Here is a 27,242-nt window from a genome sequence, read left to right as displayed (position 1 = left end):
TGCACCAGCCTTTGTTGCTGTCTTCTGGGGCTGAGTTCAAGCTCCAAAGCATCCCTCTGGACAGATTTTGTCTTATTCAAACTTAAGGAGGACTAGGGCTAGACCCTGTTTCCCAACTGCCTCAGAAAGCTTTTTAGGCTTACTCCATGGTAAATGAATCCCTCTGTCAGGATTCAGGACTAATATTACTTTTAGTTGAGAGCCCTGGGTCACAATTTGTATGGATGTTTGCCTATTTGATTGGACTACACTGTGGATTTCTTTGTCAGACTACATGGATTGGACTTTTTTTTTTTTTTTTTTTTTGAGACAGGGTCTCATTCTGTTGCCCAGACTGGAGTGCAGTAACACTGTCTTGGCTCACTACAGCCTCAACCTCCCGGGCTCAAGTGATGTGCCCACCTCAGCCTCCAGATTAGCTGGGACTACAGGTATACAAAATAACATCTGGCTAATTTTTGTATTTTTTTTTTTTTTTGTATAGATGGGGTCTTTTCATGTTGCCCAGGCTAGACTTGAACTCCTGAACTCAAGCCATCTGCCCACCTTAGCCTTCTAAAGTGCTGACATTACAGGTGTGTGTCGCTGAGCCTGGCTGGACATTGTAAAATATCAGCCCAATGAAGGGGCACAGATGCCAAATGAACACCCACATTTTTTTTTTGCTACTGCAAAAGCTATAAAGTTACACTCCTAGGAGTTACCTGGTTTTACTGTGCTAGAAAAGATTTTTCTGTTGAAGTAGAATTACATACCAGGAGAGGTTAAATGTAGGCAAAGATTAAATGCCCATTATCTACCGATTCAACAGTACAGTTTGGCTGGTCAAAAAAGCTGGAGGTAGGGACTGGGCTTGATGCCTGACTGTGGATAACAAGGACTAAATAAAGAGGTGGTTGTATAATAGTTATTGAACTGATTGAGGCTACTATCTACACTTGGTATGTTACTCTAGGTCTGCTATTGCCTCTTCTTCCTGATTCTTTAAGAAGTAGTTCAAGAGCACTTTGCTTTTGCTTAACATGACATGTAGTACCTCTTTATTATTCTGTTGCAGGGATATTTGAACTCACTAGAAATAGGGTCTTGATCCCTAGCACAATGGGAACAGCTCATTGAGATTCAAGTATTTTATTAAATTTATGACATCTTAATCATGGCTCCAACTAAGAAAGTGGCTTTTACTGTCCTTCATGCTGACCAGACAATGCTATTCACAGTCAGCTGGGCCTTGAATCAGAAGAGAGTCAACAGCCCCACTTCCCAAATGTCTTTCTTGAAGGGTACTTGGGCAGCAGTCCAAAGAGCTACTTTACAACTGCCAAAGACACATTGCTAACCTTATAGCTATAAGCTACAAAGAAAGACCCCTAACGCTTAGTTTGCCTCTTTGGATACAGTGAATCACACACATACATTTTATCAAAGCACTTGTGATACTTCACTGGACAACCAGGCCGATTTAAACACCTCCCCCACCCCCACCCTCTAGTAAGAAGCTTTGGAAGCTGTCTAGGGTACATTAACACAATCTCTGGCCTTAGGCCCCGTATCCCCTTCAGACCCTGAGAAGTTACATGTATTCATGACTGATTGCCTTGGTTCATTCCATCCTGCTGCAACAGAATACCTAAGACTGGGTAATTTACAAAGAAAGGAAATGTATTGGCTTACAGTTGTGGAGGTTGGAAACTCCAAGATTGAGGGGCTGACATCTAGTGAGGGCCTTCATCACATAGAGGAAGGTGAGAGGGCAAGAGGGGTCGAGAGGTCAAGAGGTCGAGAGAGAGAAGAGAACTGAACTCTTTCTTTTGTAACAAGCCTACTCCTTCAATAACAAACCCACTTCCATGATAACAGCATTAATCCATCCATGAGGGCAGAGCCCTCATGGCCTAATAAGCCCTCATTAGGCTTCAACTCCTAAAAATGTTGCATAAGGGTTAAGTTTCCAACACATGCTTTTTGGAGAACATATTTAAACCATAGTGCTGATCTCATAGATTATTGAAAATTTTTGGCAATGAGATTCTGTTAGTATTTTTTGATCTTTAAATTTTTGCACTTTGAGACTTCCTTCCACTGCTGAATATTTCAACCCTGTTTCTGAGCTCTAACAGGGAGAGATTGTCTCACTAAAGAAAAAATGTGACACTCTAACCTAACAACCCACCTCACTCTCTCTGAACCAAAGACCTTTGAGGTGGGAAAATGCCAAGAAAACTCCTATGAAATGGAAATGGTACATCCAATTGCAGGTCAAATCTGGCCCTCAAGTCCTGAGCAAAATTCATGAGCAAGTGGCTGTTCACATCTGGTGGCTTATAGGAAGAATCCATTGAGTGTGTTAGGGCCCTTGTGTCTCTATAGCTAACCACTTTCCTTCTTTTTTCATCCCCACCTTGACTCCAGTAGGTGGCTGGCAAGGTTAGCCTGGGTTGGGAAGAACTTCATGGACATAAATTTGGATGATTTCTGCCCTGTGAAGTCATTTCATGGTAATTGCCACAAAGTAGGTGACTGGCATTTTTGTGTGTGTTGACTTTTCAATGCTTCTTACATGTTCTTCTAGGATGGGGATGTGGTTGTGGCATTAGGCCTATGTAGCAGGTTCCCTCTTCTCTGTAGTAGACCCTCCTTGATCTGTGAAGGTAGCCTGGTGGCCTTTGGTGGCAGAATGATGACTTCCTGTCTGCACATAGCTTTTGCTGAGGGAAAAGGAGGGATGGTTTGGATCAACTCAGAGTTGTATTGGGTGTGGGTGGAGCTGAAGGTATGGATTACCTTTCTTCCATTCCATTCCAGATATAAGTAGGGAATAAAGAACAGCCTTCTTTGGGGGACTCAGGCAATGGCCTGTTGTGTAAACTTAGTGTCACCCTTAACTTGAACTGGAGGCAGGGGATTTTATTAATATTCTGCTCTCTCAGACAATGGTACAGGAGTAGCTGTCATCTAGCAGTGGTGCAACTACTTCCCTTGGTTCCACACAACCATATTCCTATCTTCTGCCCAGATGATGCCACTGGCAACTTGATACAGAAGGTCACCTTAAACCAGACTCAGATTGGCACCATGTGACCCCAGGACTGATTTTTCTGCAAGGCAAGCAGGCCCTTCCTTGCTTTTTCCTTGGACCTAATACTGCCTGTTCCCTGGGAGTTATACATGACCCTTGACAGGGACCCAAGCCCTGATAGCAGCAGCAACGTCTTAGCCTCTGGTGCCAATGGCAACAATTCTCTGAGGAAGACAAGGACACGGTTTTAGCCATTTTACCCAAGTTTTCCTCCCAAAGGCCTGATACAACATCTTCCAGTCACCCAAGGGAGATATTGCCAATAAGACAGTTAAGCCTCTTAATTTTAAGAGACTAGCTTTGACCCCAGAGTTTAGTTTTATTACTTAAACACTAGCTCTGAATTATTTGCTGCTTAGCCAGTGTGTGTATATGTAGTGGTCACCACCTTCCACTGCTTCTAGATTAATATATTTGGCCCAAAGTCTGGCCTTATTTGTAGTACTGCAGGGCCAGTCAAATGGTTGCAAACCCCCTCAGGCTGATCCTTGGGATTTTTTCCCTCCTGGATTGACCTGGGATCCATGACCAAACACTCTGGGAGGCCCTACAGGCCTTCACAAAGAACTTTTACTGGTGTTTTACCTGTTTATGAAACTGTCTCATTTGGTGATGTCAACAAATGCTGAAATCTCCACTGAAAATTTCATGTTTCTGCCCCGAATGGGCAGGCTTATGTTTCATGGGTCTCCAGGGTCACTGGGTGGATTGTTGGAGAGAGGCAAGCAGGGCTGTTTGTTGAATGACCCCAAGAGCTCAGGCTGACTGATAGTGGGAACACTGGGATGCTAACTCAGTTGCCCTTGGAACTGGGTGGCCCTTCTTCTACCAGCCTGAATCTAACTTCTCACAAGGTTGCCAGGCACTGAATGCCTGAGTTTGCAGATAATTCCCTGCAGGGGTGCCTGTGCGTTCAAACTGCTTGGTGCTTATGCCCCAATAGTTTATTCTTTACCTTCAAGGTTGTTCTCGTATTTGCATTATAAGAAGATGAAGAAGCAGAGAGGCAGAGTTCCTCCTTTGGGCCATAAGTGTGCCGTGTGGCCCGCAATATTGCCTCTCTGCATGGGATGATGAGGGAATGTGTGGGGAGGGGCAGACTGATGCCCTTTCCAACTGGCCATGTAAGTGTCCCCCAAGAACCCCTGTTCCGTTGCCCGCACCACAGGATACTTGGTATTTGGCTTCGTCCACCTTGCCACAATATCCTTTCCTTTATTTCACAGTACCTTTATAGGCCTGATTTTTTTCCCTTCTACCCATCTTTAAACATTCTCTGCTTAAGTCCCAGAATTTAGCAGAGATGCTTTTTTTTTTTTTTTTTTTTTAAAACAGGGTCTTGCTCTGTTGCCCAGGCTGGAGTGCAGTGGTGCAGTCTCAGCTCACTGCAACCTCTGCCTCCTGGGTTCAATTGATTCTCATGTCTCAGCCTCCTGAGTAGCTGGGACTACAGGTGCATGTCACCACACCTGGCTTGCTTGCTTATTTATTTATTTGATGTAGAGATGGGGTTTCACCATGTTGGCCAGGCTGGTCAACTCCTGACTTCAAGTGATCCTCCCTCCTCGGTCTCCCAAAGTGCTGGGATTACAGGTGTAAGCCACTGCCCCCAGCCCATGTATTTTTTTATGTATATTTTTTCTGTCCTGAGGAGAGATCCCCTACCTTCACTGCCTGGTTCTCTATTGGAGTCCATGAAATACGTAATACTCCTGCCTCGAATCCTGATTCCTCCTGATCATCTCACAGCTTGAATGTCATGCCAGTGTTGGTCTTCCCTACTTTTTCTGCTGTTTGTTTGTTCTTTTGGAATTGCAATCTTAAGTGCATTTACAGACAGTGCTGCAGTGGGGGAAATGTGAATGGCACTCTCATCAATACCAAAGGCACCCAGGAGAGACAGCTGCCTAGATCCCATGGGGTTCCTGACCCTGTTTCTCTGGTTCTTTGAGCAGAGGAGAAACATCTTTCAGGTGGACTGGCTTTGCTGTTTTATGCTGTAAAGTATAAGAAGACAAATAAGTACTTTTCTAAATATAGCTTCACTGTTATTTTCTGTGACTGGAGAATCATATTCTGGAAATTTTTGGTTTTCCTTGTGTTACAAGTTTCCACCTTTTTCTGCATCTTCATAGGCATTTTAACTGGAAGTTCAGAGAGACTTTCTCAGGGACTGCCATCCTGACAGCTGTGAAAAAGGAGATGTCCTGTTTCCAGCTCTTCATGTGCACGTTTGATTTGCCAGCTTACACTGGAAACTGTTCAAGGGAGGGGACCATTGCTTCGTTGAATCTCTTGCACAGAATAGGTGTGTAATATACATTGAGTGATTAATTAATTGGCTATTTATTGGCCATTTTTTTGTGATGGATTATGTTTTTCTAGAAGCTTTTCTAGTAAATCTGTAGCCTAGGTGCAGTGAAGAAAACATAAAGGCAGACTTCAGGACTGAGAGCGATCCCCTCTCAGTTCACCCTTCAGTATTCAGATAAATTTTTACTATAATTAGCTGAACAATAAAAAAATTTCCTAGTGAAATCTGGCTTTTCCTATTTGTTTCGTACATAAATCTTGACTCAAACATCACATTATTATAAGTTCCAGAGCAATGTCCTATTCCCCAGTCTCTGGAAATATTCATATAATAAATATCCCTAACTATTCAACTCTACAATTTAGAAAAATCTTGTTCCAAAAGCACATGGAGTATCTGTGCTCCAGAGTGAAAGAATTATGACATGTCCATATTAATTCACTGTGACTCAATTGAATATCATGTAGGATTATGTTCTGTTTAGGCAGCTCATTTAAACTTGTTTAACTTTTAGAGAGCTAGCTTAACTTCTGTTCCTCAATCAGGAGTAGTTCTAAGTTCTATTTCAATGTTGGTTATTCCAGAGCTGTCAGAAAAATAGATGTTTTATGGTCTAAAAATAAATATAATAAGTTCCCTTCTTCAAAAATGGCAGAACAGATTTTATACAACTGTTCCACCAAATTTACTGCATGACACTGGGTTTGGAAGGTCTCAGCAACCAGAATAAAACCATGGAAACTTTGGGGTTGGAAAACAAGGGCAAGAATGGAAAGTACTTCATTTCCTTCATTGTGCGAAGAGAGATAACATTAGCTCGGTGTGCTGGCCAAGAGGTGTGCAAATGTATACAGTGTTTCTGCAATCCACATTGGACCACCACCACCATAAACAACAAAACCCCAAAACAAAAACAAAGAAAATCCCCCACAACCCTCAGGAATGCAAAGACAATTTGTTTGCAAAGTTTTCCTTGGCATTTCCCCAAATTTATCAAGAATGACCTCTATTAGTAGCCAGACTCTGTTACTTATTATCACCATTTAAATCATTAGACCAGTGTTTCCTAAAGAACATTCCAGGAATTACTAGCTCTTAAAGATAGATGTTACTGGCTGGGCACAGTGGCTCACACCTGTAATCCCAACATTTTGGGAGGTCACGGCGGGCAGATCATTTGAGGCCAGGAGTTGGAGAGCAGCCGGGCTAATATGGCAAAACCGTGTCTCTACTAAAACTACAAAAAGTAGCTGAGCATGGTGGCATGTGCCTGTAGTCCCAGCTACTCGGGAGGCTGAGGCAGGAGAATCACTTGAACCTGGGAGGCGGAGGTTGCAGTAAGCAGAGATTGCGCTGCTGCACTCCAGCCTGGGCAATAGAGCAAGACTCTGTCACACACACACACACACACACACACACACACACACACACACACACACACAAAAGATAGATATTATTTAAAGAAAAGCTTTCAAGGTAAAAGAAGTTCAAGAAATACTGACTTAAACATGACTTTACAGGTTTATTGATTTCAGGACCCCCCCAATGTGCTGCTATGCAATGCAAATATCTAAAAGTGAGATATGGAATGTAGTCTGGGGACTCCATTTTCCAGCAACATAGTGAACCAGCATCTTAAAAAGAAAATCATCTTCACAAAACACCTCAGAAACTTTGGACAAAATACAGAACTGTATATACGTGCTTGAGCAAAATTAGAGGAATCTTCATGGGAAAAAACAAAGAAGAAAAAACTGGACCAGTAAGCTAGTTATGCTTCTGCCTGTCTAGTGGCAGGCAGGTTAAATAGGTCTAATCTCTCTGATTTGCAAGCCCACATTTTTCAAGAAGAGGGTTATAATAATAAACTCTATATGTGTAGTGCTTTTTAAATTTACAAAGTACTTATCACTAACATTAGGAAAGTGGCAATCAGGACATAACTTTACCTGGAATGCAGATGTCCTGCCCCCGCTCCTTCACATGATGTTATTTATGTATGCAAAACACATAAATGTAAATGGCACAGGAGAAGAATAAACATCTACTGGTTTTGCCAGGCCAGCATTTGTTTCTTCTTCCTTCTGTTAAAACCTCCCAGTTTTGCTTTGGGGAGCTGTCCTTTTGAATATAGTGTTGTTGGAACGGTCAATCATAGTGCTGAGGGGCAGTCACAGGAGCCAAGTAGAACCTCTTACCATGGGTTTGAATCTTGGAAGCAGGATCTCAAAGTGGGGAAAGGCAACATCTTTAAGCTGTTGCATCCTTGATTCTTATGGGCACCTTGGTTCTTATCTTTTCTGAGGTTACTGCATTTCATTGGATTCTGTGATCCAACCCATATGCTTTCATTAGTTTTATTTCCTCAACTTAGCCAGTTTGTTTCTGTTGCTTGCAACCAAAGATCTCTAACAGGTTAAAGTTATATCTATACAAATGTAGATGATGATGATTATTATATATTGGTGTGAGCCACTGAATTTTTTCCTATTTGTCTTACATTTTACAGAGTGGTACTATGTGAAAAACAGGGTCAGGATTAGGGTGAGTCAGGGTGGTGTCTAGGGTGCAAAACTGAAGGAGGTGTGTACTCTCGGATTCTTGCAAGAGCAGAAGTGGTACTTAGGGTCAGTTTTTTCTTAAGGGCCTGAGAGAAGCACTTACCTCTGCATTAAAGTGAGCCAATCCTACAATGTATGCATTATAAGCAAGTAAAAGGTTTGGAAATCCCCCATGAAGTATCCTTACCTCCACTGCCTGTTCAGAGATTGCCCCTTGGAGAGGAAGGAGCAGATATTATTCCAAAGAGACCTTTGATATGAGGGTCTTCGGAATTTCTTTTTAAAGTTTCATATATTCATTGAGAATGGCTTTAAGGGGAGTGGGTCTCAACTCTGGCCACCCAGTAGAGTCATCCAAAGAAATCTTACAAAACATCCAAAGCTTTGGTCCCATCCTCCAGAAAATTGAATCCATGTGGTCTGGGGAGGACCCGGTGGATCATCTCCCCAGGTGATGATCTCACATGCAGATGGAGTTGAGAACCAGTGCTGTAAGTGTACTGCATCATCTACATTTCCTGGAAGCTCTGAACTAGGCCCATAGCAGAAGCCTGGAGCCATAGGGTCGGGGCAGCTGAAGAGTTACTTCCATATCATAGGATAGAATTAAAAATCTAATTCCTCTCTTGCCAGATGTATGACTTGAGTCAATTACTTAGATTCCTTTTCTGTACAATAAGGATAATGATGTTATCAAAACTAACAGTATTGGCTGGGCATGGCGGCTCATGCCTATAATCCCAATACTTTGGGAGGCCAAGGTGGGAGGACAGCTTGAGGCCATGAGTTTGAGAGCAGCCTGGAAAACATAGTGAGACCCCATCTCTATAAAAAAGTTAGCCATGTGTGGTGGCACATGCCTGTAGTTCCAGCTACTTGGGAGGCTAATGTGGGAGGATCACTTGAGCCTGGAAGGTACAGGCTGCAGTGAGCTACTCCATTTTAGCCTGAGTGACAGAGCAAGGCCCTGCCTCAAAAAAACAAAACAAAACAAAACAAAAAAAAACAAAACCAAAAACCTTACAGAGACACTGTCCCAAAAAACAAACAAAAAACCCAAAAACGTACAGTATTGTTGTAGGGATTAAGTGAGATGACATGTGCAAAGCACGTAGTGCAGTACCCAGCATGTTAAAAAATGCTAGCCTTCAGTGTCATCACAGGTACCCCTAGGATTAAGTTAGGCTAGGCACCCACTCCCTGACAAGACACAGAGGTTCTCATGTATTTCTGGCCACTTATGAAGTAAAGGGTGTTCCTTTAACCAGGTACCACTGAGATGGCTGCAGACCCTGAGTGTCAGTGTGCATTGTTTCCTGATAGGTACGAAGGCTTTTCCTGGGGTAGCAGCCCCAAAAGCAGAGCACCTTCTGACCTGGGAGTCTGGCACAGTTCCAGCCACCCAGCTCTGTAGAGTTGAGAAAGCGAGGGCCAGTGGGGCTACTTATGCTTCTTTCTATCTGCTCCCTGGGCTGTGGGGCAGCCTTCCTCCCTTGGTTTCACTTTCTTAATTTCAGTCTCTAAGGTTCAGCCTTGAAACTCCAAAGGATACTGAGGCAGGTCACCCTCTCTAACCCCTGTCGAAAATTTTGCACAGGGGAAGGGAGCTGAGGAAGTCACAGAAATTCATGGGGGTGCCAGGCCCACACATACCTGCCTGTGGGGCTGAGTGGATTGGCAATGACAATGCTGACAGCTGACATTTACTGAGTACGTGCTATGTTCCAGATGCTGCGTCTCCGTTTCTCAGATGAAGAATCTAAGTTTCAGGGCCTCATCCAAAACCATACAGCTAATAAGCAGTAGAGTTGGGATCTAAGCCCAGGGAATTTTACTCTAGAACTCACAGTATTAACCACAGTGCTCCCTTGGCTTATATTTCTAAGGCACATGCTGTAACCACTTTTTTTTTTTTGTTTTTGAGATGGGGTCTCACTCTGACACCCAAGCTGGAGTGCAGTGGCGTGATCTTGGCTCACTGCAACCTCTGCCTCCCAGATTCAAGGGATTCTCCTGCCTCAGCCTCCTGAGTAGCTGGGATTACAGGCACGTGCCACCATGCCTGGATAATTTTTTGTATTTTTTAGTAGAGACGGGGTTTCCCTATGTTGCCCAGGCTGATCTGGAACTCCTGACCTCAGGTGATCCGCCCGCCTTGGCCTCCTAAAGTGCTGGGATTACAGGTGTGAGCCACCGTGCCCTGCCTATAACCATTCTTTTTTAGGGAGGTGTGGTATATGGCGCTACCCTGAATCTGTAGTCAGGATTTGAAGAGGGGAGAACAGACCAGTATAATTCTTCAGTGTTTGCTTGTGAAGAAGGCACCATGCATTGTGGTTGGTAGTGGTGACTGGAGAGAGAGATAGGAGGGGCACAGGCAGCAAGGTCCCTGCTTAAAGACAGTTATCTAGTTTGGAGAAACTTAGCTGGATAGTCAGTTCTTACATGCATTTGGCAAGCACTTATCATACACTGTAAAGAGGCAATATGTCTAGCTTGTTAGAGGGTGGGCTGTGGAGTCAGACTCCTGGCTTTGAACCCCAACTTCCCTGCCATTTTCAAATGACACTGGAGAAGTCGCAAAACCTATTTCTGTCTCAGATTCCTCCCCAGTAAAAGTGGGATATTAATAGTACCTCCTTTGTCTTGATATGAAAATTCAATGAGTTGATATATGCAGAACATCTTAGAACAGCAACTAGCTTAGAGTAAATCTTCAGTAATTGTAAACTGTGATTATACTATGTTTTTGGCACTGAAGCCACGTCGTGGTGAGTAAGACAGTGCCTGACCTCAAGAAGCTCAGTCTAGTACTGGAGAGAGGTAAACAAATACTTGCAAAGTGTGTGGTGTGAGAGAGGTGTGACAGGTGGGCGGGAGCCTGCAGCAGGCACATCTGACCCATCCTAGGTGTGTATGGTGCAGAGAAGTTAGCCTAGGCTTTCTAGGGGCACTGATGTCTGGGCTGAGTCTTGCAGGCCAGGGAGCTAGTCAGGGGGAGCTGTAGTGATCCAGCTGGGGGCTGAGCAGGAGCTGAAAGTGAACAGCTCACATCTGTAGGGTTGCCAGATTTAGCAACGGAAAGTACAGGATGCCCTATTAAATGTGAATTTCAGATAATGAACAACTTTTAAGAATAAGTATGTGTCATGCAATATTTTTAGTAAAAGTATGTCCCAAATATTGTATAACCACACACATTATTCACTGTTTATCTGAAATTCAAATTTCACTGGGCATCCTATGAAAAGTCTGGCAATTTTACCTTTCCACATTTAGGAAGGTGCAGTGTGTTTCAGAGTAGCTGGAGTGATGCAGGGAGGAAAGGCAGAGTGGGCGGGATGGGGCTCATAGGCACACAGGAGGCAGTTTGTAAAAGACCTATGCTATGTTAAGGGATTTGGATTTTATCCTGAAATTAACGATGAGCCCTTGGAGAGCTTTAACCACAAGGACATGAAACCACGGAGATAGCAGTGTCAGGTACGATGAAATGAGTGTTAGTTTCTATGGCCGAATAGCAAATTACTCCAAATTTAGAGTCTTAAACAGTAAACATTTATTATCTCCTAGTTTCTGTGGCTCAGGAATTCAGAGGCAACTTAGCTGGGTGGTTCTGGCTGAGGTTTCTCATGAGATCGTAGACAAGATGGTGACCAGAGTGGCAGTTATCTAAAGGATGCACTGGAGCTGGAGAATTTGCTTCTAGGGTGACTCACTCTAATGGTTGGGAAGGCACTGCTGGCTGTCAGCAGGAGAGCTCAGTTCCTTGTCACAGGGACCCACCACAGGACAACTTGAGCCTCCTCACAACATGACAACTGGCTTAGTGATCCGAGAGAGCAAAGTGACCTTAACTTTGGAAGTCACATGCCGCCTTGTCATTGCCATATATCCCAGTGCTAACACAGCTCAGCCCCGCTGAATGCAGGAGGGTCCTACACAAGGACGTACACACAAGGAGGTGGGGATCATGGGGTTATCTTGGAGGCTGGTTTTCTGGGATGGGAGGCTTACATGGTGATGCCTGTGACCTTGGAGGTGGAGGAGAATGATGGGCATACAGAGGAGTGAAGAAAGGCTGGGAGGAATAGAGATGTGGGAGAGGAGGGGAGGCAAAGAAAAAAAAACAGGAGGAAGGGGTGTTGGAGCGGAATGTAGTCTGTCCGCAGCAAAGGGCATCACCAAAGCCATTCCAGGAGGAACTAGATCCACCTCCTTCTCTCCTGGGCATGCTCCAAAGATGGTTGTGACCTCCAGAGAGGACCCCAAAAGAAAGCACAAAAACTAGACAATGGGAGGGCAGTACCCAAAAGCCCTGAGTTTCTGAGCAAAATATTGAACGTTTCTATGGTGAAATAGGAAGTTAATATGCTTAGGAAGAAAAAAGTGGTAATGATTCAAGGAAATATAATCACACACGATTTCAGTTTTAATGGACATGGGAGGAGCCATAAAAGTAATCTATCATCTATCAGTTATCTATCTATCTATCTATCTCAACTATCATCTATGTATCTACCCATCTATCAATCATCTATCATCTATCGGTTACCTATCTATATCAACTATCATCAATATATCTATCATCTATCAATCATCTATTACCTATCAATTATCTATCTATCTATATCACCTATCATCTATATATCTATCCATCTATCAACCATCTAATTATCTATCATCTATCAATTATGTCTATATCAACTATCATCTATACATCTATCCATCTATAAACCATCTAATTATCATCTATTAATTATCTATATCAACTATCTGTCATCTATATATCTATCTATATATCAATCATCTAATTATCTATTATCAATTATCTATGTCATCTATCATCTCTCATCTATCATATCTATCATCTATCTCTATCATCTATCTTCTATCTCTATCATCTATCTTCTATCTATCTGCCTATCTATCTATTTATCATCTATCTAATCTGTCATCTATTTTTTAAAGGGCCATAAACTTGTTAACATATATATATACACAGGCATTTTAACAAGTGTTTTCCCTGGAGAAGTGAGGATAGAAACTAACCCGTAGGAAGAGTGCCCTCTGCTGCTACTTATTCAAAATAGCTCCTCTGTCTGGCCATACCAAGGAAAACATCCTAAAAGGTTCTTTGCCTTCTGGCTGCTGTATATAACAAAAAATTAATAACTAACATCTTTACCTCTTAAAATACCTTTAAGATTTCTTTTCTGTTTTGTAGACAGCCGTGTTGCTACATTTTTCCATTTGATTTTATTCTTTCCATGGTTAACTGTAAAGCAAACATAATAAGAAACAGACATTGGATACTTATGCAGTACACAGAAAGCATTTCTTCCAAACTCTTAACTAAATAAAGTAAATCCTTTCCTAGGTGCACAAATCCATAGGTCAGAGGTCAAGATTACCCAACCAGGAATAGCTCATCACTGTAGGCTGGAGGAAATGGCTTTATTTACTCCAGAGCACCCAGGAAAATGTACTGACCTTTACAACCAGCTCTGCTTGCTATTCCAGGGGAAAGCAGGAAGGGAGGGGCGGAAGGACAGACCCATAAATGTTCTATGACAATTACTTGGCAGCACCGTTTCAAAGAAATAACGGAAGCCTTTACTTGGCATTCTGTACTAAGCAGTGCATGGAAATGGGTTGGTTTCAGCTCTGGACTGCCCACCCACACCTGGCCCCTCTGGGCATACTAAACACAGACAGGAGTGACACCGCTACCCCAGGTGTTAGCCTGGAAACTTCCCTCCCTTCCATGCATCATCCCTGCTTTCATCTCCGTAGTTGACAGATTCTCTGGGTCTGTTGTGTGGACTTTGGGATCAGCTTCTTAGCCCTTGCCCTTCTCTGAAACATCACTTTTGGCTCACTCTTTAACTCAGGACTCTGCAGGGCTCCTGATTCTGAAATACTTGCAACTTTAGGGAGAAGACACTCCCTTGGCCAGCTTCATCCCAGCCTCTAGCTGAGGAAAGAGGATTGGACATGCTACATTTTTGGGCAAGGTATTTATCTTCTCCAAACCTGTTTCCTCATCTGTAAAATGCAAATGATAAAATAACTCACATCATCAAGCTTTTGTGAGAATTATAACTGATAAAGGATAAATGTCGATTATTATAACATAGCAATAAATGTCGATTATTATAAAATAGTAATAAAACAAGTATTATGGAATATTATTAAAGTTTTCTTTTTCTTTTTTTTTTTTTGAAACAGAGTTTTGCTCTTGTTGCTCAGGCTGTAGTGCAATGGCACGATCTCGGCTCCCTGCAACTTCTGCCTCCTGGGTTCAAGCCATTCTCCTGCCTCAGCCTCCTGAGTAGCTGGGATTACAGGCGGCTGCCACCACACCCAACTGATTTTTTGTATTTTTTAGTAGAGATGGGGTTTCACCATGTTGGCCAGGCTGGTCTTCAGCTCCTGACCTCAGGTGATCTGCCCACCTCGGCCTCCCAAAGTGCTGGGATTACAGGCGTGAGCCACCGTGCCCGGCCCTGGTTAGAGGACAAATATTAATATATGGGTATCTAGTGGCTGCGACCAGGCCAGAGAGAGGAAGTTTAAAAAATCAAGGGAAGGAGTTTTGTCCATAAGTTAAGTTTAAAAATACATAACATGAAGTCTGGAGATAAATAGACCAAATACTAACAATGTTTATCTTTGGCTTTTTTGTTTTATTTTCAGCTTTTTTATTTTTTGTGGATACATAAGGGGTGTATATATTTATGGGTTACATGAGATATTTTCATACAGGTATGCAATGTGTAATAATCAGATGAAGGTAAATAGGACATCCATCACCTAAAGTGTTTATCCTTTGTCTTACAAACAATTCAATTATACTGTTTTATTTTAAAATGTAAAATTACATTATTTTTGACTATAGTCACCCTGTTGTGCTATCAAATATTAGGTCTTATTCATTATTACTTTTTTTTTTTTTTTTGAGACAGCCTCACTCTGTCACCCAGGCTGGAGTGCAAAAGGTGTGATCCCGGCTCACTGCAACCTCTGCCTCCCGGGCTCAAGCGATTCTCCTCCCTTAGTATCCTGAGTAGCTGGGATGACAGGCACATGCCAGCATGCCCAGCTAATTTTTGTATTTTTAGTAGAGACAGGGGTTTCACCACGTTGGCCAGGCTGGTCTCAAACTCCTGGCTTCAAGTGATCCTCCTGCCTCGGCCTCCCAAAGTGCTGGGATTACAGGTGTGAGCCACCACACCTGGCACTATTTTTTATACCCATTAACCATGTCCACTTCCCCCCAATACCCAACTACCCTTCCCAGCCTGTGGTAACCACCATTCTACTCTCTGCCTCTGTGACTTCAATTGTTTTAATTTTTAGCTCCCACAAAAAAATGAGAACATGCAGTTTTTCTTTCTGTGCTTGGCTTATTTCACTTACCATAATAAACTCCAATTCCACAACGATGCTTATCTTTGAGTGAGGAATTTATAGGTGATGACTTTTTTTTCTTCTCCTATTTTTCAAATTTTCTGTAATGAGTACTTTTTAAATAGAAAATACGAAATTTTGTTGTTAAAAAGCCATCATTTGTTCTTTCTTTTCACTGACTTAATACATGATTTTATTCTCAATCTAAAGCTTACAAGCCAGAGGTAAGGCTAAAACCCCTTATGGACACACACACAAACACGACTGCTGCCACACCAAACGCAGTCACTTCCCAGAGGTAGTCATGATATTAATTTTGTGCCGACCCTTCTAGATATTTTTCTATCCACTTATGTGTTACTGGCTCATTGATCAAGGGCAATTTGTGACATGATTAAACATGCTTTATTTTTCTTCCCTTCGTCTCTTCAGAACTTGTCTAGTGGGGGGTAATCATCTCTTGCCACTAGATGAAGAATAGGGCCATTCTAGAGGCTCTCTGGTCAGTCATAGGTGATGGACACTTCCACATTTTCTTCCGTCCATTTGGAAATTTTGAATATCCAATGTAAGGTATACAAGAAACCGTCCTATGCCAGAGGGGAAAAAACTGAGCCTAAATATGATCAAAACTGTAGATCAGTGGTTTTCAATGTTGGTTGCATACTGGGATCATCTGAGGTAGTTTAAAAAATTCCTGTGTCTCAGTTCCCCCCAGAGTCTCTGGTATAATTGCTCTTGGATTTGCCTGGGCTTCAGGGATATTTATTTAATTATTTATTTATTTATTTATTTATTTATTTAATTTTATTTTTTTGAGACCCAGTCTCACTCTGTTGCCCAGGCTGGAGTACAGAGGCGTGATCCCAGCTCACTGCAACCTCTGCCTCCCGGGTTCAAGTGATTCTCCTGCCTCAGCCTCCTGAGTAGCTGGGACTACAGGCACCCAGCAACACACCTGGCTAATTTTTGTGTTTTTAGTAGAGTTGGGGTTCCACCATGTTGGCCAGGCTGGTCTCGTACTCCTGACATCAGGTGATCCGCCCGCCTCGGCCTCCTGAAGTGCTGGGATTACAGGTGTGAGCCACCGTGCCCGGCCGGCTTCAGGGTTTTCAAGAGCTCCTCAGATAATTATAGTGGGCTACCTTTGAGAATCACTGCTCCGGATTTAACATCCAATTTATAGAAAATACATGGGAAAGCATAGAAGAACAGCATGGAGTGCAATAAGCAATAGCCACACTGGGACACGCTATAGGAGAAACACTCAGTTTCTTTATAAAAAGTTGTAAGAAAAAAAGATGAGGAGGAGAGAGGAACCTACAGGTTAAAAGTGACTTACAAGAAATTACTAATTGCAATGTGTGAAGAGATCTTTTTGGATCTTCAGGTGAACAAAGAAAACATATGAGAAGTTTTACACATCAAACAGGAATATTTGAACATTCAGTAGATATTTGATGTTAAGGGATTGTTTTTAATTTTGAGGCTACAATAATGTGGGGTTTTTTAAATTTTTGTTTTTTAAACTTTTATTTTAGGCTCATGGGTACATGTGCAGGTTTGTTATACAGGTAAACTCGTGTTATGGGGGTTTGTTGTACAGACTGTTTTATCACCCAGGTACTAAGCCTAGTACCCAGTGGTTATTTTTTTCTGCTCCTCTCCCTCCTCCCTACCTGAGACCTCGCATAGGCCTCGGTGTCTGTTGTTGTTTTATTTTTAAAACAGTTTTTCTCTTTCAGAGACATGTTGAAATAACTGAATGAAATATCTCCAGATTATATATCTGGGATTTACATGAAAAGAAGCCTATGAGAGGGAGGAGTGGGTGAGGGTGTAGATTAAAAAAAAATGATTGGCCTTGAGTTGATAATTGTTGAAGCTGGGCAATGGGTACATAGGGAACTCGGTATTCTGTTTCCTCTAGTTTTGTATGCTTAAACGTTTCCAAAATAAGAAGTTTTTCTGGAATGCTTAGTCCAAGATATTAATTAACAATGTAGTGCTTAAAGACAGAACATCTTTTTCCTGCTACAGAGTGCAGTCCTTGGCTGTCTGCTTTTGGGGAGACAGGTGTGACCATCTGTCTTGCTCCTTGCCCATCCCCACCGCCTCTCCCTTGCTGAGCGTTGCTTCCCAAGGCCAAGGCCAGAGGGCGGAGGAGACGTGGGCATTAGACCATTAGACAGCTCTCATCTACTGGATGGCCTTGGGCTCCCACCCTGGCTGGTTTTACAGCTGGCTTTTCCTGGGTTTGGTCACTTTGCTTGTGTTATGCATCAATTCTCTTCTCCCAAAAGACTTTTTTTTTTAACAGAGTCTCGCTCTGTTGCCCAGGCTGGAGTGCAGTAACATGATCTCAGCTCACTGCAGCCTCTGCCTCCCAGGTTCAAGCAATTCTTCTGCCTCAGCCTCCTCAGTAGCTGGAATTATAGGCGCCTGCCACCATGCCTAGATAATTTTTTGTATTTTTAGTAGAGATGGGGTTCACCATGTTGGCCAGGCTGGTCTCGAACTCCTGACCTCAGGTGATCCGCCCGCCTTGGCCTCTCAAAATGCTGGGATTACGGGCATGAGCCACTGTGGGCAGCCCCAAAAGACATGTTGAGCTTCTAACCCCAGTACCTGTGAATGTGCCTTTATTTAGAGAAGAGGTCTTTGCAGATGTAATCAAGATGAGGTCAGACTGGGTGTGGTGGCTCACACCTGTAATCCCATCACTTTGGGAGGCCGAGGCGGGCAGATCATTTGAGGTCAGGAGTTTGAGACCAGCCAGACCACCATGGTGAAACCCCATCTCTACTAAAAATTCAAAAATTACCCCAGTGTGATGGTGTGAGCCTGTAATCCCGGCTACTTGGGAGGCTGAGGCAGGAGAATCGCTTGAACCTGAGAGGCGGAGGTTGTGGTGAGCTGAGATGGTGCCACTGCACTCGAATGAGGTCATACTGGAATACGATGGGCCCTAAATCCTATGACTGGTGTCCTTACAAGCAGAGAAATTTGAGAACACAGAGGAGACACAGGTGAAATAAGGCCATGTGAAGACAGAGGCAGGGCTTGCATAAGCCAAGGAATGCCAAGGTTGGCAACCAAAGGAGTTAGAAGCAAGGAAAGATTATTCCCTAGAGACTTTAAATTCCCTAGAGAGCATGGCTCTGCTGACACCTTGATTTTGAACTTTGAGTCTGTAGAACTGTGAGACAAGTTTCTGTTGTTTTAAACCACCCAGTTTGTGGTACTTTCTTACAGTTGCCCTAAGAAACGAATACACTCGATCCAGACCTTCCCAGCTCTGGGGATGTCTCTTCTGCTGCACACTGTGTTATTTGGTCCCCAGGAATGCCAGCTCCAACTGCAGCTCCCAGGAGCCCAAGCAACACATACTCCTGCAATTGGGGTCCCTCACCTTTGCCGCTGGGTCCACTTGGGCAGGACTTTGCATTCCTCTGCCCTAAGTGGTTCAAAGAGTTTGAGCGGGTACACTCTGGTACTAGAGAAAATCTGAAGCAATTCACCTAGGTGGATGAAAAGGGACTTACGTACCCTTGATTTATTAAAATTCATTGTTCTTTTATATACATTTCTCTTTAAAACTCTGAAATGAACATTTGTTTATGCAGTATGACATGATTGAATAATTTATATGACAAGCTTAATAAGGCTGACATTCAATGAACAGAAAAGTAATTTACCTTTTAGTAATCAGAAAAACTTTCAATCCATTTTTATCTTATTTTTAAGTGTCTGTTATTAAAGCTTGTGATTTTTATTAATGTAAATAAGCCAAAGGGTGATTGTTTTTGACACACGGCATTGTGCCATAGTGTAATGGGTAGTTTCCTTCTCAGTTAACCTTCAATACTCTGTACACACTATTCTGAAATACTGGCATCTTCGAGCCTGGCATCTTCGAGCAGGATGCTACGTAAGGGAGGGTTAGCTGCATTGGAAGGGTCTTCCACATCCCAGATTTCAAGCATACTGCAACCAGGCCTGAAAAAAAGACATATATATCCATATTAGAAATGTATTCCTGTCTAGAGAAAATAGATACATAACACACATCTAGATTTTCAGAGACAAATTTATTTAATGTTAAATATTTTAAAGCGTCATTTCAAAAAACATAATTTCAATGTTTAGAAATTTAAAAAATAGAATGAAATTAAGTATGTTGCCTTTTCACATCTCATTTAACCAAATGAAAGACATATCCTAATAATAAAGCTTCAATATACATTCATAAATACGTATTTAAAAGCTCACTTTCAAGATGAAACAAACATAAAAATACTTTCCAAGTGCCATCACCATCTAAACATAAGGCCCATTTGCAGTAAAATAAGATAAATTAAAACCTAATTCAATTCCTGATGAATTTCATATTTTTTTAGCATAAACTGCCTTGGATTAGCATGAAATCATCCAAGGCAGGGACAGGAGACTCTTATGGCAATTTGTTTTCTTCAATTCTTTCCCATTTTGGGTGGCTCTATGACTGGGCTAAATGAGACACTCTCCTCCCTAGAGAGTAATCCTGGATGGCAGTCATTAAAGGGAAGGAGTCAGACAAAATTGATTTCTAATTTTTTAACATTTATATTGAAGTATAAGTTATACACAATAAAATTTCACCTATTTTATGTGTAAAGTTTGCCAGGTATGGGCAAATGTGTATAGATGTGTAAGCACTACCACAATCGTAATACAGAAAATTTCCATCACTCCCACAAGTTCCCTGTGCCCTTTTGCAATCTACCACCTTCCCCAAACATGGCCTCAGGCAACTACTGTGTTTTCTGCGCTATAGTTTTCTTTTTCTAGGATTTCATATAAATATATTATGTAGTCTTTTCATTTTTGGCTTCTTTACCATAGCATGTTTTTGATACTCATATCTGAGCTGTAGTTCCTACAACTTCTGTTGTGGTTCAGTAGTTCCTTGCTTTTTGTTGCTAAATAATATTTCATTGTATATAGAGAACGCAATTTGTTTATCCATTTGCAAGTTAATGAACATTTGAGATGTTTTGAGTTTTTGGTGACCATGAACAATGCCACTATAAACATTCATGGACAAGGCTTTTTGTGGACATATGTTATCATTTCTCTTAGGGAAACACCTAGGAGTGGAATTGCTCGGTTGCATGGTTATGTATGATTAAATGTGGATTTATCTTTATAAGCAAGTTCAAAACTGTTTTCCAGAGTAGATGCACCATTTTTCATTTCCACCAACAATGCATGAGAGTTTAAGTTGTATCAGTTTTTGTAATTTTAATCATTATAGTATGGTTATGGATGATTCAAAATATCTTCTTTGGTGGAATGTCTATTCAAATATTTTGCCAAATTTTGTGTTGTTTCTTATTGAGGTGTGAGAGTTCTTTGTATATTCTGGGTAAAAGTCTGCCAGATTTTTTTTAGCAGATGTATTAAGGCATAACTGTTCAATAATTACTCAATAAGCTGCACATATTTAGTATCCACTTTGATACATATTAACATATGTATACACCTGTAAAACAGCAGCCACAATAAAAATCATGAACATATCCATCTCTCCCAAAAGTTTACTTCTGCTTGCTTGTAATCCTAATTATTGCATGCTTTCTTTTTTGTCTGGCTTCTTGTCCTCAGTAGAATTATTTTGAGATCCATCCATATTGCTGTTCAATAGTTTGTTCATTTTTATTAGTGACTAGTATTTACATTGTTTGGATATTCTAGTAGTGTGTTTATACATTCATCTGTTGATAAATAAGTGGGTTGTTTCCAGTTTGGGGCTATTACAGAAAATAAGGTGCTATGAACATTTGTGTACAATTACTGGGATGGATATATGCTTTCTTTTATCTTAATAAATATAGTAGTTGTATGTTTAACTTTTTATAAAATTGCTAAACTGTCTTGCAGAGTGGTTGTACCATATTACTTTTGCACCACTGGTGTATGAGAGTTCTAAGTCCTCCATAGTGTCAGCAACACTTGGCATGATCAGTTTTTTTTTTCAATTATAGCTATTTTATTGTTTAGCGATATCTCACTGTAATTGGCATTTGCATTTCACAAATCACTAGTAACATCAAGCATCTTTTTGTGTGATTATTTGCCATCTGTCCTTTTGTCTTTTTTTTTTTTTTTTCTTTTTTGAGACAAGGTCTTGCTCTGTCACCGAGTGGAGTGCAATGGCACCATCTCGGCTCACTGCAACCTCCATCTCCTGGGTTCAAGCGATTATCCTGCCTCAGCCTCCTGGGTAGCTGCGATTATATGCGCCCACCATCATGCCTGACTAACTTTTTGTATTTTTAGTAGAGATGGGGTTTCGCCATGTTGGCCAGGCTGATCTTGAACTACTGACCTCAGGTGATCCACCCACCTCAGCCTCCCAAAATCCTGGGATTACAGGTGTGAGCCACCCACTGCACCCAGCCTATTTTGTCCATTTCTAATTGGGTTGTTTTATTATTATTGGGTTTTGAGAGTTCTTTATACATCTAGAGAAAGTCCTTTATCAGACATAGGCTTTGAAAATATTTTCTCCCAGACTGTGGTTTATCTTAATTCTTCCTAACACTGTTTATAAAAAAGCAGAGGCTTACAGTTATGAAGTCCTATTTATCAATATGTTCTCCTGTGGATCATGATTATGTTACTGTATCTGAGAAATCTTAGCGTAATCCAAGGTTACAATAATTTTCTTCCATATTTTCTTCTAGAAATTTTATATTCTTGGATTCTTAGTAGCAAGTTACCTTCTACTCCTAGTTTGCTGAGGGTTTTTAATCAGTTATGGATACTGAATTGTGTCAAATACTTTTTCCTGAATGTACTGAGAGGATGATGCGCGATGATGCGGTCTTTCTTTTTCAGTTTGTTACTGTGGTGAATTCACCTGATTGGTTTTCAAATAGTGAGACAACTTTGCATTCCTGGGATAAACTCCACTTGCACATTATATATTGTCTTTCTTTAATATATTGCTGGATTCATTTGTTGCAATTTTACTTAAAAATTTCACATATGTGTTCATGATAAATTTTGATTGGTTGTTTCCTTTTACTATAATGTTTCTCTCATGTTGGTATCAGGATAATGCTGACCTCACAGAACCAGTTGGGAAGTAATCCCTCCTTTTGAATTTTCTGGAATAGTTTGTAGAACTGGAATTATTTCCAGTGAAGATATCTGTCTTAAAGTTTTCTTTGTGACAATTCTTTTTACTATAAGTATAATTTTATTAACAGATATAAGGTCATTCATAATAAGGTAATAGATATAAGATTTTCTGTTTCTTAAGTGAGCTTTGGTTTTGGATCTTTCAAAGAACTTGTCCATTTTATCTATTTTGTCCTACTTAGTGCAGTAAAGTTGTTCCTAAAACTCCCTCATTATCCTTTTCATTTCTTCAGATTCCTGTAGTGATAAAATCTTTCTTATTCCTGATATTAGTAATTTCTGCCTTCATCCTTTTAGTTTGGGTAGAAGTTAATCAATTTTAGTAATCTTCTCAAGAATCGGTGTTTGGTTTTATTGACTTTTCCCTGTTTTGGGGGTAATTCACACTGATTTTGATTCTAATCTTTATGCTTTCTTTTCTTCTCCTTACTTTGGAGTTTACTTGTTCTTTTTTTCTAGTTGCTTAAGGTGAAGCCGAGTGACTGATATGAGGCCTTTCTTCTTTTTCTATTATAGGCATTCAACATAAAAACAAATCTCTCTACTGCTGTATCTGCATCCCAAATAGCGGGATGGTGTTCTCATTTTCCCTTAGGTCAAAATACGTTGAAACTAACCCTCCTTTTGTTTCTTCTTGACCATGGATTATTTGGAAGTGTATTACTTAGTTTCTAAACATTTGAGGGAATTTCCATACAGAATTCTGTTACTGATTTCTAATTTAATTTCATTGTAGTCAGATATTGTACTTTACATGATCTAAAGTATTTTAAATGTGTCAGTACTTGTTTTGTGGCCTAGAAAATGGTCTTTTTTGATAGTCTGCGTGTGCTTGAATGTCTATTTTGCTGTTCTAGGGTGGTGTGTACTATAAATGTCAATTAGGTCATATTGGTTGATGGCGTTATTCAAGTCTTCTGTATTCTTGCTAAATTTCTTTTTATTCTACAAATTATTTAGAGAAGGCTATTAAAATTTCTAACTATACTGTAGATTTGTCTATTTTTTCGTAAAGTTCTATCAGTTGTGCTTCATATATTTGAAGCTGTTATGTAAGTGCATAAATGTTCAGAGTTGCTACATCCTCTTGAAATATAGATCCCTTCTTCATTTAAAAATCCTTGTTTAACCTTGATAATATTCTTAGCATTCAAATGTACTTTGATGTTATTACAGCCACACCAGCTTTCACTGACTAGTAGTAGCATCACATGTCCTTTTCCTATCTGTTAACTTTTAACCTCTTTGTTTCTTTATATTTAAATACATTTCTTGAAAGTAGCCTATAGTAGGGTCTTGCTTTGCTATGCAATCTGACAATTCTTGCTTTTCATTTGTGGTGTTTAGAGCTATATTCATTTCCTATTGCTGCTATAACAGATTACCATAAACAGTTGCTTAAAGCAACATGTATTTATTCCCTTTCAAATTTTGGAGCTCATAAGTCTAAAATCACGGTATTGGCAGGGCTCCAATCCTTCAGGAGGCTCTAGAAGAAAATCCACTTCCTCGCCTTTTCCAGCCCTAGAAGCTGGCCTCCTTCCTTGGCTTGTGGCCTTATATCACTCCAACTTCTGCTTCTACCATCACATCGCCTTTTTGATCTCTTACTCTTTTGCCTCCTCCTTATAAAGACTTTGTGATTACATTTGTCCTACCTGGATAATAAGGATAATCTCCACATCTCATGAGCATTAACTTAATCACATTTGCAGATTTCCTTTTTCCATGTGAGTAACGTAATTCACAATTTCTGGGAATTAGGACACAGCCATCGTGGGCGGCTCATTATTCAGCCTACCACAAGTCCATTTACACTTAATGTGATAATTGATATGGTTAGATTTAAGTCTGTCATCTTGGTGTTTTCTCTCTGTTCCACCTGATCTTTGTCTCCCTTTTCCACTTCTTCTGCCTTATTTTGGATTGAGTGATTTTTATAATTCCATTTTAATCTTGTTTGTTGCCTTTTGGGTTCTGTCAGTTTTTGCTTCATATGTTTTGATATTCTAAGTTCATATGCACTCAAATTATTGTATCTTTCTCCTGTACTGAACTATTTTGCCTTATAAAACATAGTCGTTTGTAGTAATATTCTTTGTCTTAACATCTATCTTATCTGATATTTATACATTTTTCACTTCAGCTTTCTAATGTTTACTCACATGCTATCTTTTCCATTCTTTTTCCTTCAGCCAATATACATATTTGTATTTAAAATGCACCTCTTGCAGGCAGCCCATAGATAGGTTTTGCTCTTGTGTTCAATTTGCCAATCTCCGCCTTTTGTTAGGAAGAATTTAGTCCTCTTTCACTTTGAAATTACTGATATGGTTTGATATAGGCTTGCTATTGTGCTCTTTTTAAAAAAAAATTTTTATTTCAAGACATTTGGAGATCCACATTAAGTGAGAGATAATACAAGTAGCTCTTGTACAGTCTTTAGACAGTGTCCTCCGCCATGGTAACATCTTGAACATTTGTATAATATCACAGCCAGATAATTCACATTGATAGAATGGTGATAGAGAGCATTTCCATCACCACAGAGATCCCTTGTACAGCCACACATACTATACTCCCCCCACATTCCCACCCCACCCTAACCCCTCGCAACCACAAATCATCCATATCTATAATTTTGTCATTTGAAGACAGTTATACAAATGGAATCATACAGTATGTAACCTTTGGGGATTGTCTTTTCTTCATTCAAACAATTCTCTGGAGATTCATGCAGGATCTTGAGTGTATCAATAGTTTGATCCTATTGCTGAGCAGTATTCCATGGTATGAATAGATCACTATTATTTAACCATTCACCTTGCGAAAAACATCTGGGTTGTTTCAGGTTTAGGCTATTACAAATAAAGCTGCTATAGACATTTTTCTACAGAATTTTGTGTGAACACAACTTTTCACCTGTCTGCGAAAAAATGCCCAATACAATTGCTGGGTCTTAAGTTGGTTATATGTTTAGGTGTTTTCCCCTTTTATTTTTAGTTGGCAAGTAATACTTGTACATATTTAGGGAGTATAGAGTGATATTTCAATGCATAATTACAATGTGTAATGATCAAATCAGGGTAATTAGGATATCCATCACCTCAAATGTTTACCACCTGTTTGTGCTGGGAACATTCAGAATCCTCTGTTCTGGCTTTCTTGACATATACCATAAGTTACTCTTAACTAATATTCACTCTACAGTGCCAGAGAACACTAGAACTTATTCCTTCTATTTATCTGTAGTTTTGTATCTCTTAACCAACCTCTCCTTATCTTCTTCTCCTCCCTACCCTTCCCTCTCAGCCTCTAATTACCACAATTCTGCTCTACTTCTATGAGCTACTTCTTTGAGCTTCCACAAGTGACAACATGCACTATTCATCCTTCTGTGGCTGACTTATTTCACTTAATGTATCCAGGCTCATCCATGTCTAGGCTTGCCATTATGCTCTTTTTTTCCCCCACTGTTTTATTTATTTTTTGAGTGGTTTTGATAGGGATGACAACAAGCATCTTTAACATATCATGATTTACTTACCATTTAAATTGGGTTATTTCTAGTAAATCATACATTTCCATTTACTCAATTTTTGTGCTATTGTCATGTATACTTAATTTCTGTCATAAAGTAAAAAATATAATGGTATCACCTTTGCCTTAAATAATGTCTTTTAAAGCTTTTCAGAGAAGAAAAATGTATAGTGATTAATAGCCACATATTTACCATTTCCAGCACATTTCAGTATTTCTTGTATATCTGAGTTACCATCTGGCATCATTTCTCATCAGCTGACAGAACTTCTTGTCCATCCTGAAGTATAAATTTGTTACAATCAAATTATCTTAGATTTTGTTGATCTGAAAAATGTATTTTTGGCCTCCATTTTAAAAAGATAATTTCATTAAATATAGAATTCTTGATTTTTCATCTTCAGCACTTTGAATTATCATTCCAGTGTCTGTTAATTTCCACTATTTATGTTGAGAAGTCAGATGTTTATATAGCATATCATTTTTTCTCTTATTTTCAAGATTTTCTCTTAATCTTTGATTTTACCGTTTTGACTATAATGTGCCTTGCTTTGGTTTTCTTTGGGCTTCACCCAGTTGGATTTGTTGAGCTTAGCAGATCTCTAAGTTAGCAGTTTTTATCAAACTTGAGAAATTTTTGGACAACATTTCTTCAATGTTGTCCATGAACATGGACAGAAAAGAACATTTTTCTGTCATGTTCTTTTTTTCATTACATCTAATACTAAAATTATGCATGTGTTGAACTACTTAATGTTACGTAGGTCTGTGACTTTGGTTATTTTTCAACCTTTTTGGTTCCTGTTCTTTTGATTAACTATTCTCTCTTGATCTATCTTCAAATTCACTGAATTTTCTGTTCAAATGTTCTGTTTACATCTCAAAATTGTTGAGCATATTTAAATAATTTTCACTTCATTTACTATACTTCTCAGCTCTAGAATTCCCATGGGGGCTGGAGTGTTTCTATTTCTGCTGAGATTCCATATCTCTTCACTCATGGATACCATGTTTTCTTTTAATTCGTTGAATATATTTTTCTTAAGCCTTTGAATGTATTTGTAATAGTGGCTTTGCAGTCTTTGGCTGCTAAATCCAACATCTGGACCTACTTGTATCGGTTTCTATTAACTTATTTTTTTCAGAG

At 40.2% G+C, this 27,242-nt stretch overlaps 1 pseudogene across 1 annotated transcript in view, besides 1 other annotated feature; it reads right to left on the bottom strand.

Annotated features, from left to right (window-relative positions):
* Positions 13,246-13,540: a silencer, noted in NCBI's record as "tiled region #13440; K562 Repressive DNase matched - State 12:CtcfO". NCBI's record gives its function as "represses a minimal TATA promoter and a strong SV40 promoter by Sharpr-MPRA in K562 cells {active_cell/tissue: K562}" and the evidence as "EXISTENCE:reporter gene assay evidence [ECO:0000049][PMID:27701403]".
* Positions 18,892-27,242, bottom strand: part of DPY19L2P3 (DPY19L2 pseudogene 3) — a 57,468-nt pseudogene continuing 49,117 nt past the window's right edge. Inside the window, exon 9 of the transcript NR_158194.1 lies at positions 18,892-19,366. The product of NR_158194.1 is annotated as a DPY19L2 pseudogene 3, transcript variant 3 (transcript). The remainder of the gene's footprint in view (positions 19,367-27,242) is intronic.

This window comes from Homo sapiens, chromosome 7, assembly GCF_000001405.40.
Source record: "Homo sapiens chromosome 7, GRCh38.p14 Primary Assembly".
NCBI lineage: Eukaryota > Metazoa > Chordata > Mammalia > Primates > Hominidae > Homo > Homo sapiens.
The sequence above is the reverse complement of the archived record's forward strand: the minus strand, read 5'-3'. Positions and strand labels throughout refer to the sequence as shown.